At 47.7% G+C, this 16436-nt stretch overlaps 1 protein-coding gene and 1 long non-coding RNA gene across 3 annotated transcripts in view, besides 4 other annotated features; one reads left to right on the forward strand and one right to left on the reverse strand.

Moving 5' to 3' along the window:
* The window catches only part of SLC35F3 (solute carrier family 35 member F3), a 419836-nt gene that overhangs the window by 306355 nt on the left and 97045 nt on the right, over positions 1 to 16436 (forward strand). The window contains exon 1 of one of the 2 annotated variants that reach the window (NM_001300845.2): positions 3189 to 3544. The exons of the other annotated variant lie outside the window; for it this stretch is intronic. Within the exon in view, the coding sequence (NP_001287774.1) occupies positions 3469 to 3544 (76 nt within the window). The 5' untranslated portion in view covers positions 3189 to 3468. Of the gene's footprint in view, positions 1 to 3188; positions 3545 to 16436 lie in introns of those variants that run through there. 2 annotated transcript variants of the gene reach the window in all.
* On the reverse strand, positions 1687 to 4052 carry LOC124904553 (uncharacterized). Its single transcript, XR_007066948.1, has 2 exons — positions 3838 to 4052; positions 1687 to 3081 (listed from the first exon to the last, which is right to left on the reverse strand). It is a non-coding gene; the product is annotated as an uncharacterized LOC124904553 (long non-coding RNA).
* Positions 3298 to 3397: a silencer, noted in NCBI's record as "silent region_1966". NCBI's record gives its function as "represses an Ori minimal core promoter by ATAC-STARR-seq in GM12878 lymphoblastoid cells {active_cell/tissue: GM12878}" and the evidence as "EXISTENCE:reporter gene assay evidence [ECO:0000049][PMID:35858748]".
* Positions 3498 to 3597: a silencer, noted in NCBI's record as "silent region_1967". NCBI's record gives its function as "represses an Ori minimal core promoter by ATAC-STARR-seq in GM12878 lymphoblastoid cells {active_cell/tissue: GM12878}" and the evidence as "EXISTENCE:reporter gene assay evidence [ECO:0000049][PMID:35858748]".
* Positions 3648 to 3767: a silencer, noted in NCBI's record as "silent region_1968". NCBI's record gives its function as "represses an Ori minimal core promoter by ATAC-STARR-seq in GM12878 lymphoblastoid cells {active_cell/tissue: GM12878}" and the evidence as "EXISTENCE:reporter gene assay evidence [ECO:0000049][PMID:35858748]".
* Positions 5277 to 5366: an enhancer, noted in NCBI's record as "active region_2745". NCBI's record gives its function as "activates an Ori minimal core promoter by ATAC-STARR-seq in GM12878 lymphoblastoid cells {active_cell/tissue: GM12878}" and the evidence as "EXISTENCE:reporter gene assay evidence [ECO:0000049][PMID:35858748]".

Genomic DNA, 16436 nt, shown 5'->3' on the forward strand with positions numbered 1-16436 from the left:
TCCAGCAGTAGCTGAAAGGGGCCAACATAGAGCTTGGGCTGTTGCTTCAGGAGGTGTAAACCCCAAGCCTTGGCAATTTCCATGTGGTGTTGAGCCTGCAAGTGCAGAGAAGTCAAGGATTGGGGTTTGGGAACCTTTACCTAGATTTCAGAGGATTATGAAAACACCTGGATGCCCAGACAGAAGTTTGCTGCAGGGGTGGCACCCTCATGGAGAACCTCTACTAGGTCAGTGCAAAAGCAAAATTTGGGGTCAGAGCCCACACACACAGTCCCTACTGGGGCACTGCCTAGTGGAGCTATGAGAAGAGGGCCACTGTCCTCCAGACCCCAGAATGGTAGATCCACAGACAGCTTGCACTCTGTGCCTGGAAAAGCCACAGACACTCAATGCCAGCCCATGAAAGCAGCTGGGAGGGAGGCTGTACCCTGCAAGGCCACAGAGGCAGAGCTGCCCAAGAACATGGGAACCCCCCCCTTACATTGGTGTGACCCAGATGTGAGACATGGAGTCAAAGGAGAGCATTTCAAAGCTTTAAGATTCAACTGCCCTGCTAGATTTTGGACTTGCATGAGGCCTGTAGCCACTTCGTTTTGGCCAGTTCCTCCCATTTTGAACAGCTGTATTTACCCAATGCCTGTACCCCCATTTATCCAGGAAGTAACTAACTTGCTTTTGATTTTACAGGCTCATAGGTGGAAGGGACTTCCCTTGTCTCAAATGAGGCTTTGGACTGTGGACTTTTGAGTTAATGCTGAAATGAATTAAGACTTTGGGGGATAGATGGGAAGGCAAGATTGGTTTTGAAATATGAGGATATGAGATTTGGGAGGTGCCAGGGGTAGAATGATATGGTTTGGCAGTGTCCCCACCCAAATCTCATCTTGAATTCCCATATGTTGTGGGAGGGACCCACTGGGAGGTAATTGAATCATGGGGGCAGGCCTTTCCCATGCTGCTCTCATGATAGTGAATAAGTTTCATGAGATCTGATGATTCTATAAGGGGGAGTTTCCCTGCACAAGCACTCTCTTTGCCTGCTGCCATCCATGTAAGACGTGGCTTGCTCCTCCTTGCCTTCCACCATGATTGTGAGGCCTCCCCAGCCACGTGGAAATATAAGTCCATTAAACCTCTTTTTCTTCCCAGTCTCAGGTATGTCTTTATCAGCAGGGTGAAAACAGACTAGTACAACTTGTCATTGTGACTTGCCTAGTAGAACACGTGTGTAGAGGCCAATGTGAAGTGCTGGAGGACATCCACATCAGCACAAGTATAAACCAGTTTCCCCAGGAGTGTACAGATGCTCAGGCACGGTGAAGTCATGTATCATATATCAAAACCACATTCAAACTTGACACGTATCTCTCAGCTGACTTGGAATAGCTATGAGGAATTTTTGCATTTTATCTCTCCAACATGTAAGAGAATAACGTACTGGTTATAAGTTCAGGCTTTTGAATAGTTCACACTTGGATTTAAATCCCCGCTTGGCCAGTTACTCAGTCTGTGACCTGCGACATTATCCTCTCAGCCTCAGTTTCCCCATCTATGAAACGAGATAACAACAATCTTACAGAGCTTTTGAGAGTAGGAAATGAAATTATTTATGTAAAACAGTTAACATAAATAATACATAGCATGTGCTTAAAAACGTGTGCAATTATTATGTGATATTTGTTTTAGTTACTATATATAATAAATTTTATTGATGAACTTGATGAAACACATAGAAGTATTATTTTGTAGTAAAAAGATCCTCTTTAATATACAACATGTAATTCTTTTGCTGTAAGCTTATTCCAAAGAAGGAAGTGGCTTATTGGCTTATTGTAGTGTCATCACTAGGAGTCTTGGAACGTTTCCTGTAAGAGGCGTATAATGTGGAGGGGTACCACTAGAGGGCTCTGCAGGGACCCTATATACCTTTTCCTTGGCTGTAGTGGTGAGGAAGCAACCCTGAGAAGCCCTGGCCTTTTGGAGATCAGAGCCATTCCATTCATTACAGCTGTTCAAGAGGGCAATTAATAAGAATCCAACAAGAGCAACTCCTAGGAGCCACTTCTGCCAGAGAGCTGGGGGTTGCAGGTGGATGTCACCAGAAACATCTGGTAGGTGCTGAGCTAGGAAACCCTATTGCTTGAGTTTCACTCTCCCCTGTACCACTCCACAGAGCTACCCTTGTGGGGACTTGAATGACATAATACAATGAAGTTTTAACTTTGAGACAGGAAACCAGGTAGCATTGAAGGTTCTGAAATTCTGGGCAAAGATCTAACCAACAATAATAACAAAACCCACCTTGAATCTCAACTGATCCTTGAGGCTGGGACCCACACTGATGGCTGGGCATCTGTAAAGGAGATGAACACAAGGCCCTGGGAGTTCTGGGGCTGCATGAGCCCTGTGTGTCCTACCTGCAGGGATGATAGCAGGGCACCTCTGATGATGCACTGTCATGGGATAAATGCCCCTCCGGACTCAGTGGTCACTCAGGGATTGTGCTGGCAAGTGATGCAATAGGTATATGTCATAGCTTTTTAATGAGCACCATCGGCCAGTAGCTTACAGCTGTGTCTGAGTGCCAGCAGTGAAGCTGGTGCCTGCAGAGGCAAATGTCAGATCTGCAGCTGAAGCAAGAACCTGGGAGCTGGGCAGAAAAGGAGCTTTCCTGCTACCGAGGTGAGTTTGGATCTCCAGACTGAGGCGGTGGGGTGGGAGCAGAAATCTCTTCAAGCCTTTGTTTTCTTGTGGCTGTTTTGCTTCTGTGGTGTTTGAACCACCCCCCACTCCACCCCGCAAAAAAATAGCTGTCCACGGGGCCAGACAAGATAATGTGCCTCTAGACTCAAGAAGTGAATGGCAGCCTTGGGAAGCTTTGCTTTTTCTAACTCTCCCTGTGAAATAATTCAGGACTTCCGCACACTGAAGAGTCAACTCTCAATCCAAAGTCAAGCACTTCCCTTTTTAAACTTGTGCAACGCTGAGGCTTAAGTTCTCAGGGTCTCCCCTCCGCAGGCGCTGGTCCTTTTAAAGGGCTTCTCAGAGAGGTGGTGGCCAGAGGCTGCAGTCAGGACCTGGCTGGGAGGAAGACAGGGATGAGGGCTGCGGGGCTGGGCGTCCCGGGGAGGAGGGCGGAGCAGGTGAGCTGCGGGGTGGGAGCAGGGAGTGCACTTGTACGTGACGTTGGAGTTTGCAGCAACCTCCAAGTAGGAGGCTGTGCGCGCGTGTGTGTGGAGTGGCTGCGCGGCCGGGGAGGATGTGCGCTGCAGGGCGGCCGCCGCAGTGAGCAACGCGGCAACCGGAGCCCGGCGGGCAGCCGGGGAGGCCGGGACTGAGAGGGGCGAGCCGCTGGTGCTCCCCGGCGGCAGAGGGCCGCGTCGGCCACGGGCCCGGGAGAGACGCGCTCCAGCCGGCCCCAGGATGTAGGCGATCGGCGGCAGCGCTCCTGCAGGCGGCCGGCTCATCATGAAGAAGCACTCGGCCCGGGTGGCCCCGCTCAGCGCCTGCAACAGTCCGGTCCTGACCCTTACCAAAGTGGAAGGTAATGCGCGGCCGCCTCGCCCCGGGGGTCCCTGCACCCTAGCCGGGGAATGCTGCCACCCTGAGGGGGGCTGTCTGGCTGCGGGGCGCCGGGGCTGGGGGTACTGCTCCCCCAGGACGCGGCTCCGCAGTGCAGAGCGCCGCCGCCTGCGTGGGGGGATCTGGCAGCTTCAGGGGCTGCCCTGAGCTCCCTGGCGAGCAGGAGTGAGCTGCTGCGGCGAGTGAGCACCCGGCTCCCCAACCCTCTCCTTCCTGGGCAGCACCCAGCGCATCTGGCAGCAGCTGCACCCTCACCTCCATCCCAGTTTGTCCTGGGGCTCTTGTCTGTTCGGCAGGAGGGGGTCGTCCAGCCGCTCCCAGTGTCCCCTTACCACACACACACTTGAGTTGCCTGGGTGTGGAGCTCTGTGCCTCACCCCCAGGCCGACCAAAGGTGCTGCCCGCAGTTGGTAGAGGCGGGAGAGGGCTGCAGCGGGCTAAGGAGACGTCTGTCCTGCGTGTTCCGAAGCCTTTCCGGCCACCAGCCAACTGACTGCCCTGCTCTTTGGGAATGGGCGGGGCGCACAGGTGAGGGAAGAGCCAGCACCAGTCTGTAAACAGGCTCTTTCCCAGGCCCTGGAGAGGGATTGGAAGGGCTGTGAGAGGCCCCCAGAAGGTGTCCTCCTCCCCGTGTTGTCCTTTCTGCCTGGAACTGCTCCCACCCAGGAAATGTGAGCGAGAGGACAGGGGAAGAAGCAGCCCACCGAGGAGAGCTTCCTCAGACACAGCTGGCTTCTGCTGGCCTAAGGGGCCTTGCTTTCCAATGGAGAAGGGGGGCAGAGGGCCAGTCCCAGTTCTTAACTCCTCCTCCCAGGAGGCAGAGGTGGAATGACTAACTCCCTCTGCCAGGAGCAAGCCACCTTGGCCAGGTGAGGCAGACAGACCATCCCCTGGGTCCCAGGAGCTCCCCTCTAGGCTTTTGCTTGTGCTGAGCTAACAGAGCCCATGAGCATCAGCGGTGAATGAGGGGCAGCCATGGGCTCCGACAGAGCCTGGCTTCTGCCCTTCCCAGGAAGCCTGGACTTCTCTAGGCTACTGTTGACCCTGCTTCCCACTCGTGACTTCTTGTTTATTACAATGAATCTCAGAACCAGCGAGGACAAGACAGAGGCTGGCTTGGTAATTGTATATCCCAAGCTTAGCTGTCCACACAGGCCTGCCTGCAGCTGCCCTAGTACTGTGATCCCCATCCTACTGAGGAGCACTGTGAGGCCCAGCAAGGTGGGTTAACGTGTCCTAGACCCACAGTTGGTAGGTGGTGAAGCAGGAATGGAATCCTGGGCTGTCCGATCCAAAGCTCAAGCATTTTTTCCAGAACATCAGTTTGCACTGAACTGCAACTACTTACCTATTTCTCAACATTTTCTATCTTTAGGAGGTTGGGTTTTTTTCCTTCTTGTGGCTGTCTTCTTCTCTCCTCCATCCCAACCTCAGGAATGACTTGATATCAGCCATCTACACCTGAGTTTAGTGCAAGTGCTACCTCTTCCAGGGGTGTTTGTATTTCTAAGCCTACCCAGACATTGCCCACATGCATGTGTGAATTGGGGAGGGAAGGATTGGCCATTTATTTCTCTGAGGGAAGCAGGGAGTGAGTGTCTGCTCACTCATAGGGTCCTCATGGGAAGCTGCCCACTCCTACCTCCTAGTAGGACAGATTGGTTCTGCTCTCCAGCAGCAGGGGGTCTCCCTGGGAAACTCCCAGCCCACCTTAGGCAGGACAGGTTCGAACTGCACTGGAAGTGGGGCAGGACGCGGATGGTGGGGCTACCTGAACTGGGTGCTGTGGCCTCAGAGGTGCTGCAGGAGGCAGTGAGTGGCATGCGAGGCACAGGTACTTCCCTATGGCCAAGCCTGGAGGTTGCCTTCAGGGAATGAAAGTGAAAATTATCTCCCACTAACCACCAACCCCCCAAAAAGTCCCTTAGGGCTGCTGCCAAAAGAGCTTTGAGTCTCCTGCACCTGCTAACGCCAGCAGCTGCCTCGCCACGGGCTTGGCTTTGGAACTAGCATTTCCTCATAAATGCCTGTGGATAACGGAAATGTATAGTGAACTAAGAAATGGTGAGATTGAGGATCAAGACTGGGCCCTGCCCCTTTTCCAGTTGGATTTGTGTAAATCACGAACACAGCCTCAGTTTCCGCAAACGTAAAAGAGAAGGAACAACCTACTTCAGCAGGCTGTGAGGAGATGCAATAAGGTAGAGGTAGCTGAAAATGCCTGGCAAGCCCCCAGTTGCATTTTTCGTGGGATACCTACAAGTATCCCATGCAAAATTCTGCCCCTCGGGGCCTCATAAAACCTGCTCTTGGTATGCCTGGCTCACATATAGCTCTTTCTCTCTGCCTAGTTTTTTTCCTTGGTGTTTTTATTCAGTTTGGCTTTTGGTCTATTTTTTGGAAACCATTTGCATCTTATGTGCTGGTTTTGGAAGTGTTGAATCATTTCATTTTAACTTGAATGCACAGGGCAAGGTGGTCCCCATGCTGTGGGTGTTTCTGTATGGATGGCAGACAGGCTACAGGGAGGGAATGCAGCCAGCGAGGAATATTTATTAGCTTGCAGAGTGTGTCATCTAAGGGGAGGCAAGAAGGCACCAGCATGTGGTACATATAAAACCAAAATAGAAAAGGCAAAGCTTGGTTAAACTCAAACACAGGAAGATGGGCAAGATGACTTCATTTACTCAACAAATACTTCATCCAACCCTACTCTGTGTCCTGTGACAATTTAGCAAGGCCCTGGAAAGGCAAAAAGGAACAATTCTAGCTTCATTCTCTTAAGGACGTTTTAGTCTAGAGGGGAAGAGACATACAGATAGATAGATAAATTATCAAATACAAAGTAGTAAGTTCTGGTATCGAACTGAAAAGCAAGGTGTCACGGGGACACTGAGAGTTGAGCAATCTGAGGAGGTGTTCCTGAGGAGGAGGCCTTCATGAGGAGGAGGGTTTCTACAGAGGAATACTTTCTGAGGGGGGCCTTTCTGAGGGGAAGGCCTTTCTGAGAAGGAGGCCTTTCTAAGAAGAGGCCTTTCTGAGGAGAAGATATTCCTAAGAAGAGGAGGCTTTTCTGAGAAGGAGGGCTTCTAAGGAGAAGGCCTTGCCGGGGAAGCCTCCTCAGAAAGATCTCTGAGGAGGAGGCCATTCTAACAAAAGGGCCTTTTTGAGGAAGAGGCCATCTAAGAAGGAAGCCTTCCTCAGGAAGAGGCCTTTCTGAGGAGATATTCCTGAGGAACAGGCCTTTCTAAGATGGAGCCATTCTAAGGAGGGGGCCTTCCTGAGGAGGAGGCCTTATGAGGCATCACAGCTGAGGCTGGGGGGATATGAGAAAGCTTGTTGGTGCAGAGGGGAGGAGAGGCAGTTTCAGGCAGAGAGAACATGGATGCTAGGGCTCAGCCCAGAAGCATGAGGAGAGTGGGGCTGGGCCTTAGATAGGGGTTAAGGTTTGAAAAGTGTGTTCTGGCGAGATTGATGGCATCTGTCATGTCTAAAAACATACCTTGTTTTCACAGATCCTTTGCTTGGCTTTCCTTTCAGAAGCAGAGCATTGGTCAGTAGCACATCTCTAATAGACTAGTGTTTACTGGGATCAGCTCTACTCACAATCAACTCATTCATGTTCAGTGAAATTACATTCAATAGGGATTAATCATTGAGAACAGTACAATGAATTCCCCCAAGAGGCGTGCAGCAAGTAGTGTTGTGGAAAGGGTGAGGGCTTTGGAATTAGATGGACTGGGTCTATCCAGCTGTCATGCTAGGTGAGTGATTTCTGGCTAATGAATAAAGCTCTCCAGGAATCAGTTCCGTCCTAGGAAAGGAGGGGTGATGACATCTTGCTCTTAATACTCAAATAATAGTTTTTGCTAATGAATGCCTCCTATATTGCAGGTACTATGCTAGGAGAGATTGTTCCATTATCTCTATTTTTTCCCTAAGCAAGGGTAAGTATTGTTATCCAACTTTATAGATAAGGAAACTGAGGCTCAGAAAACTCATTCACGAAGGAACTGTAATTAGAAAGCAAGGATCCCAGGCTTCAAATCTATATCTACCTGGCTGCAAATGTTGCAAGACCTTTGCACAACTGCATTTCATTTGAGTAGGAGAGAGAATTATATCAGCTCATGGCACTTTGTAGATGCTCAGTAAATGCTCCCTAAAGCTCCCATTGTATGTAATTCCAGCAGTTTGGGAGGCCGAGGTGGGTGGATCATGAGGTCAAGAGAGCAAGACCATCCTAGCCAACATGGTGAAACCCTGTCACTACTAAAAATACAAAAATTAGCTGGACATGGTGGCGTGCACCTGCAGTCCCAGCTACTTGGGAGGCTGAGGCAGGAGAATCACTTGAACCCAGGAGGCGGAAGTTGCAGTGAGCCCAGATCATGCCACTGCACGCCAGCCTGGTGACCTGGTGACATAGAGAGACTCCATCTCAAAAAAAAAAAAAAAAAAAAAGCTCCCACTGTAATATAACTAATATAACTCAGTGGTTGGGACCCCCATGGGGGGTTCATAGGCCCCATGGCTGTGTGCCATATTCTTAGTGCCTCTCCTTTGGGAGTGTTGGGTGATCTCAGCTGCCCCCAGAGTAGGTCTGACTACCTTGTTCCTGTCAACAGGATAAGACGGTTATCCTGGAATGCTCAATTAATAGTATATAAAGACCCAGGATGCTGGCCCAGTCCAAGAGGATTCTTGAGAAGTATACTGCCAAAGAGTTTCCCCAAACCCAAAATATTTCCCTGATTGGCTAGCTCTAGGTCTGAAACTTCAGTGGCAAAAGTCATTCATGTAGTGATCAAATATTTTACCTAATATACGCAAGAGAATGAACCAGATGTTTGGGAGGATTCTAAGAGGAGTGAAACATAATCCTTGATCCAACAGAGCTTCCAATCGAGTGAGGAATGTCAGAAAGGCATACCAATAAAGAATGCATGCTGAAATGTAATGTTTTTGATTCTATGGAAGAAGTATAAAGTAAATGTTGCATTTCAGCTGAGGGTGAACTCAGTTCTGGCTGGGACGCAGATGGCCCCTGCGCAGCACTCTTGCTTGCCGTCATTACCCCCTTCTTCGCCAAAATGACCTGATCTGACAGGATACTCTTTCCTGCTGAGCCTGGATGTGGCCTCAGAATTCTTCTTGTCACCACACTCCAGGTGACGGCCTAAACATTTATTGGAACTGCTTTTCCTGGAAGCACGGTCGGGATGGCATGGTAGAGGAGTTTGCCTCTGCCCTGGGCTGTCAGAGGTGGGAGGTGAGAACACAGCATTTCCTGACAGAGGGAGCCACAGACGAAGGCGCAGAGCTAGGAGAGGGTGGCGCTGGGAGACCAGCAGGCAGTCTACTGGGCCAGAGCGTAGTGATCAGAAGAAGCAGGAGGAGGGGAGGTTAAGCTAGACCATGGGCAGATGCTGAGGCATCCTGAACGCTGGACTCGGAAGACAGGATTGAAACAGGGGGAGCCAGAGAAGAGAAGAAAACACCATCCGAAACTGAGAAAAGACGGTCATGGGCAGCAGTGGTGTTCAAACTGGGTTATGAAATCTCTTTCATCAGTCGCAATAAGTATTTCTTATCAAAGGAATTAGAATAGAATAAAAACTGCCACTGTCTATCAAATGTAATAAGAGACAGAGTGGATCCAAGATGCTTTCATTTCAGGGGTGTGTGTGTGTGTGTGCTCATGTGTACATGCTCATACGTGTGTGTCATATTGAAGGTATAGCGAAAAATTTTTTAAACTCTGCTGGAAAGTATCCAGTGGTGACAAGGAGACATGTTGGGGAGTGACAGCAGCAGTCCACACATGAGCTCATGGTAATAACTGCGGTAGTAATATTTGCTTCCTCCTCGCCATGAGCCCTTGACCTGGGTTGCCTCATTTAGTCCTCACAACATGCCTCTACAGTGGCTCCTAACGTAATTCCCACTGTGCAATGAGGACTTGGATTGCAGGGGGATCAGGTAACCCACTCTCTGAGACAACTGCCATGTGGTATGCCCACGTCCTAACCACTGTACCATCTGATGGCAAGGACAAGGACAGGATAGAGGAGGAATCAACAGGCTGTGGTGAGAGTGTGAAGTAGGAAGGCTGAAAAGAGCCATGAAATACAGCTTTGAAGATTATGCCTAAACAATTCTGGGAATGGAGATGCCATTAGCAGTAACAGTGAAGATAGGAAGGGAAACTCATCTGGGAGGGAGAGATGGGGGAGTCACGTTTAGAAAAGTTGAGTTTGAGGCCAATGCCTGCAAACACAGGTATGTAGGAGGCAGGGAAGTGGCAGAAAGAGGTGGTGAAGCCTGAGAAACCAATCAGGTGATATGGAAATAAATGGGCAAGCACAGAATCCTGGTGACCGTGCACATTTAGGACATAAGGGAGGCAGGAGAGAAGTTTGACCGGCCAGACCAGAGAACTCAGATAGTACGGTGGCATGGAGACAACCAGAAGAAAACCGAGAAGAAAGAGAGAGAGTGATGTGTCAGATGCAACCAAGAGAGGGTGATTTTGTGGAAACAGTTTTAAGCGGGTGCTGGTCTGCCAGCCAGATTGCAAGGGTGGGTGGGGGCATTACTGGATACTTGGTTGAAGTGTTTGACAGTGAGGGAAGTTTGAGAAGCTATGCTGTCTTAAGGGGGAGGGAGATAACTTTTGAGAGAGCCAGGCTGATTCCAGGGCAGGTCTGAGGTTGCCCCGAAAGAAAGATGATTGATGCAACAATTAATGCAACGGTGGCCTAGAGGAGGCAGCATACCGGGGAGGAAGCACAAGACAGAGAAAGGGAATGATCGGCTTTGAAAAGGAACAGAGAAAGCTTAATGGGCAAAGACAAGAATCATGAAGATGCAGAGGAGGGAAGCTAAGGGAGCTGTGCTGGTGACTTTGATCTTTGTAATGTAGGAAGTGTCATCGTTTGCCGCAAATGATGGATGGGGACTGAAGACTTGAAGAGGTGGGAAAGGGTTCAGAACAGCCCTATTGGGACATCCAAGAAGAGATTTAATTCTTAAAAGCCTTTTTGGCGCATAATACATTTCCATTGGTTAAGACATCATGTAGCTCAGGAGAAGGGACTGGAGGGAAGAACACTGGATGAGGTGTCAGGACATTCAAGTGTCATTTTCTGCTCCTCCATTAGCTAATTAATATATTGGACATGTCGCCTGGCCTCTTGCAGCCTGGGCTTCTCCTGCTGCAAAGAAAGAGGATTATAATAGATCTTCCATTGTCTTTTTAGGCAGGAACATTCTAAGAGTCTACTAAGTAGCTTAATCATTAGCAGAGATTGGCTTATCTGATTAAAACTCTTCATTAGCTATAGTCAGAGAGCAGAGCTTTGAGGAATTGAGACCAGGAACAATAAGGAATCTAGCATGTGCATGTATGTGAGCATATGTGTGCATGTAAACAGGTGCTCTTTCTGAGAGTAGATTTTGGTATTTGAGCAGGGGATGGAAAGACTAGCTACATGAGTACAACTTGCTCCATGAGACAGAACCCCAGATGATGTGATGGCATAAAAGGAGGTACAGAAAGAAGCCAAAGAGAAGCTGTGCATCTTCCAAGCTTTGCCTGGGGCTGGTCTCAGTCCCTGTGTTTCTGTGTTAAATCTCAATGCCCAGGAATGAGCTGAGCCATGTCACCCATTGTTGGTTCAGAATGTCTATCCTTGGGTAGGAGATTAAGCCTGAGAGGTCATGTTTAATACCTTAAGGCCAACCCCACCTTGGTCCTTGACCAAGCAAGTTTAGTCCTGCCTTGTTGATGCATAACGACTCTGCTGAGAACTGGAGTTATGTTTGAGAAAACGGTGTTTTAATTTTGCTCTGTTCTGCTCATTTTCATCTAACACTCCATCCAACCAAAACCCACACCTCTTCTGATTAGAGGACCAGAGATGCCATACTCCCCCATCCCCCCATAGCTGCCCAGCACCGCCTTGGTGAGTCTGGTGGGCTGGCCACTTCACAGGAGAAGGCTCCAGCATGTCCCTCTTCCTCAAGAGCCCTCAGGCTGCAGGAGAGGGCAGTGTCTTTGCCTGGAGGTACTGTCCTGCATATAACCTGCCCTCCTGTAAAACTGTGGTTCATCCTTTGCATTCCAACAGCCAAATTTCAGTCCACATAGAAGCCAAAGAATCTGGAGATGCTAACAATCTGATGAGGAAAAACACCAGCAAAGAGGAGTATGCATATTTGTCTGGGTTTTGTGTGCAGGTCATTAGCAGCACCAAAACATCACCAGGTAAACCAACTGGTGTATATGGAGGCATCATGTGCCCAGGCCACAGAAAATGGTGAAATTCCAGGAGGCTGCACAAGCCATAACTAGCAGTGCATATGGATTAAAACTGATGCCCTCAAGTTCAGATGCTTTCAGACCAAGTATTAAAACATAGCGCTCTGCTTCCTCCCAAGAGGAGGCGCTGACTCTTCCCCCAGGGCACAAACAGTATTATTTAAGGCTTACCCATACCCTGTCAGTTTCTCGAGAGTCATGATTCACCTTAGGCTGAGTACATTCCAGGACTGTCTTAAATCCACTGCATGAAATTATTCAGACCTTTGAGAGTTATTCGGGACCTCTAAGGAAATGGAAGTGAGGTAGAAATGCCGATTTAGGTGTCTGATTACTGAGATGGTGATGATGGGTGGGAAAAGTGAGCTGGATCACGACCTGACTCTTACCAGCTCTCAGACTGCTTCAGAGTAGATCAGACACATCTCAAAGAAGCCTCCACCACCCCATTCCAGCCCCAAAAGGCAACTTTTGTTCACCTCCTGATTCTTTATCCTAACCAGAGGAATAATTTCCCAGTGCAAAACACTAATTTTGTTTTTAAACACAACTTCACAACTCTCATGTTTTCTCCTAGCTCTACACACTGCCTCCAGAAATAACTTTACAACAAAGATTCAAGCAATTCACAGGAGGCAAACAAATATAAGATAGCATATAATATTTATAACCCAATAAAGTTATTTATTCTCCTAATAGGTTATCAAAATAGATACTCTGCCATCTGTAGCATGTCATACACATTCTGCAGAGTGGTGGCTCTTGGTCCATGCCTTACACCTTCTCAAGCACAGTACACTCTCTACTGTAACCCCTTGTATTAGCTAGCACCACCATAACAACATATCATAGCTTTTAAAAAAGGACATTTTTTTACTCACAGTACTGGAGGCTGGAAATCTGAAATCAAGGTGCTGGCAAATTTAGTTTCTGGGGAGGGCTCTCTTCTTGGTTTGCAGATGGCCGCCTTCTGTGTCCTCACATGACCCCTTCTCTTGATGTGTGTATGGAGAGAGAGAGATAGAAAACAAACTCCCTGATGTCTCTTCTTATAAGAAAACTAATCCTACAAGATTAGAATTCCATCCTTATGACCTCATTTAACCTTTTTCGGTTTTTTGTTTGTTTGTTTGTTTGTTTGTTTTTTAAGACAGGGTCTCACTCCTATGCCCAGGCTGGAGTGCACTGGCGCAATCACTGGTCATTGCAGCCTCAACTTTCTGGGCTCGGGCAATCCTGCCACCTCAGCCTCCCAGGTAGCTGGGACTATAGGCAAGCACCACCATGCGCAGCTAATTTTTTGTATTTTTTTATAGAGATGGAGTTTCGCCATGTTGCCAACACTGGTCTTGAACCCCTGGGCTCAAGCAATCCACCCATCTCGGCCTCCCAAACCTCTGGGATTACAGGCGTGAGCCACTGCTCCCAGCCTCTTTAATTTTAATTACTTTCTTAGAGGCCCTGTCTCCAAACACAACCACACTGGATGTTAGGGCTTCAACACGTGAATTTGGGAAGAACACAATCACTCAGTCCATAACACCCTCTTTCCAGAATAGCATATCCTAGTGCAGGGTCCCATACACACTCAGTCTTTTCCATGTTACAAATGTGTTTCTGTCCTCTGCATACCTGAAGTCCCTCTTTAGTGACATGCAGTTCTGAATGAGATGTTCAGCACCATGACCTTGGTCAACTTTCAAAGGGGAGAACGAGAGGAATGAGTACATTCTGTATTCCCGTTGATGCTCTGGAGTCAAACAGAACCAAGTTAAAACAGTGCCTTAGCCGCTCACTGATTTGTATCCTTGGGATATTAACTCTCAGAACCTCAGCTGTCCAATATACAAAAGAGAAATAACCTTACTGATCTCCACCATCATGATGGATATAAAAAGATATGTAACATCTACTGGCAGAGAGTGTGGTGTATGTATTGGGTGTCTAACCACCACTTGCCCCTTTAATTCTCCATACTATCTCCTTTTCCTTTACCCACGGTCAACACCTAACTTCAATTATCTATAGATTATGTTCTTTCCCTGGAACCTATGCTAGTCAGGAGCATGACTGGGGCTTCGGCCGCATGTGAATGGTGGCAGCGTTTTCTGACCCAAAGTCCAGGAATCCATATGGATGATCTGGAAAGGGCAAGTGGGTTGGGACACGTGAAGTGCGAATTGCTTTGGGACGTTTGGGGCATGTAGTTGGCCTTACGCGTGTGAAAGCCTTTTCTGCAAGTCTCCCCCCCTTTCCTCTACATCACTGCCTAAAAATAATGTCACACATAAATTCACTGAGCAAGTATTTAATGAGTAGAAAAGATAAACAAAGCCTGAAATGGATTGTTTGGAAGACAAGTTACACTTGCAAATGGCCATAAACAAAAGCTTTCTTCTAAGCTCCTCATTTTGCAAAACTTTTTGGTTTGTTGGCCAGGTCCTGGGATGGTGTACTCATCAGTAATCAATAAATGGGAAAGTTTTCATCAGACCCTGTCTTTCATGCAGTCTAGGAAAAAGGGGCAGGAGTTGAGGGATGGGGGAAGCTGGAACTCTAGTTTCCAGAGCAGCTCTCAACTGTATCCCATTTGGACGCAATTAGATGCACTTAAGCCTCTAAAATGTGGGTACTTTAAGCACTGCCACTTGGACTAAGCAAGCTCCATGAGGGAAAAGTTCTATCTGCCTTGTACCGCAAAGTAGGTGGTCAAATAAGATTTGTTGAATGAGTGGCCTAAAAACTAGTCCACCCAAGAGAAATAAATATATATCCACACAAAGACTTATAGGTGAATGTTCATAGCAGCATTCTTCACAGCAGCCCCAAACTGAAAGCAATCTGCATGTCCATCGATAGATGAATGGATAAGCCAAATTTGGTATATCCATACAATGGAATTCTCTTCAGGCATCAAAAGAATGAACTGCTGACACACGCTACAACGTGGATAAACCCCAAAGACATGATGTTAAATGAAAGAAGTCAGATGTGAAAGTCTGTATATGTATATGAAATGTTCAGGATATGCAAATTATTATAGAGACAGAAAACACATTCATGGTTGTCTAGGGTTGAGGCTGGGAACAGGGAGAACTTCAAATGGGCACAAGAACTCGTTTCGGCATGATAGAAATGTTCCAAAATGATACTATGGTAATGGTTTCACAATTCAAATTTGCTAAAACTTACTGAGTTGTGTACTTAACTGAATTTTATAGTATGAGAATTATATCTCAATAAAGCTGTAAACAAATAAAATAACTCTATAGACCTTACTGAAATAGATGTCAGTTGCAAGGCATCATCTCCCATTTCCTGTGCAATTCTATCTCCTTTACATTTGAAAGGCTTGAGTCACACCAGCCAGCTGGTGGTCTTTGATCCCCGCTCTGGGTCCCTTACCCTAAAGAAAGGACTTGAGCACTTTCTAAGGGTAAACTCTCTGGAGACTTTTTCAGAAAGGACTCAACAAGGGTCCACTTATTCTCGGGGAAGCTCATAAAAGAAACATTATTGGTCTCTTGAAAGTTCAAAAGGGCCATTTTATGAGATGAGAATGAATGACTTTCCATTCTTTCTTGCTTTTCATTGTAGAAGTGACTTACATTAAGTTAAAAAAAAAAAAAAAAAGCACCCAATTCATCATTTTCTCAGGCCTAAGCAGTGGACAGCTCATGGGACTAAGGATGTGCCTTGGTACCCGAATGAGTTGGTAGCTAACCTCGACCTTCAGCTCACCCATTGTGACCTGAGTTTCCTTCTGCTGTGCAGACATTGCCTCTAGGTACTACTTCTGCTTAACCAAAGAGTGTGAATCCTTTCTCTCTTTGGTCAAGAGTCTTTGGTCACAAGCAAAAAGTGTGATTTTGCAGGTGGCGGGTTTATTGCCTGACAGCCCTCAGGACACTAAGACAGGGCTAAAATGGAAGCTCACACACAGGCGTGGTTACATCTCACCATGCCATGGAGTATATAAAGTGCACAAAAGAACACTCCCCCTGCACTGGCGTGCGCGCACGCGTGCACACACACACACACACACACACACGTGCTCAATGGAAGCAACTCAGGCAACAGAACTGGGATGAACCCGCCTGTCCTCCAGCATTTATGGATGAATTAAGTAGCATAAACAGAATTTAGAGGTGACACAGCTTCAGGGAGATGTTTGAATCCACAATTACAGCGTCTGTCAGCACGAGCATTGGGCCAGAGTGTATAATCTACTTTGCATTGCTCCCAGAACTGCTGGCTAAAGTACAAGATTAGAATTTAAGGCACAAGATGATCATAAACAGAGGGATTGTTAGTGGGGAAGGGGTGTTGGAGAGTGAAGGTGAGGGTGACATAAATAGTATTTCTAGTTGTGTACTAATGGTCCCAGGAGCTGTGGCAGTAAACAGTGTGAGACAAATTTTGGCATCGATTTCCTTGAGGCACTGCCTCTTTCTTTCTTTTTTTTTTTTTTTTTTTTTTTTGAGATGGAGTCTAGCTCTGTTGCCCAGGCTGGAGTCCAGTGGCGCAATCT

The sequence above is a fragment of the Homo sapiens genome, chromosome 1, assembly GCF_000001405.40.
Source record: "Homo sapiens chromosome 1, GRCh38.p14 Primary Assembly".
NCBI lineage: Eukaryota > Metazoa > Chordata > Mammalia > Primates > Hominidae > Homo > Homo sapiens.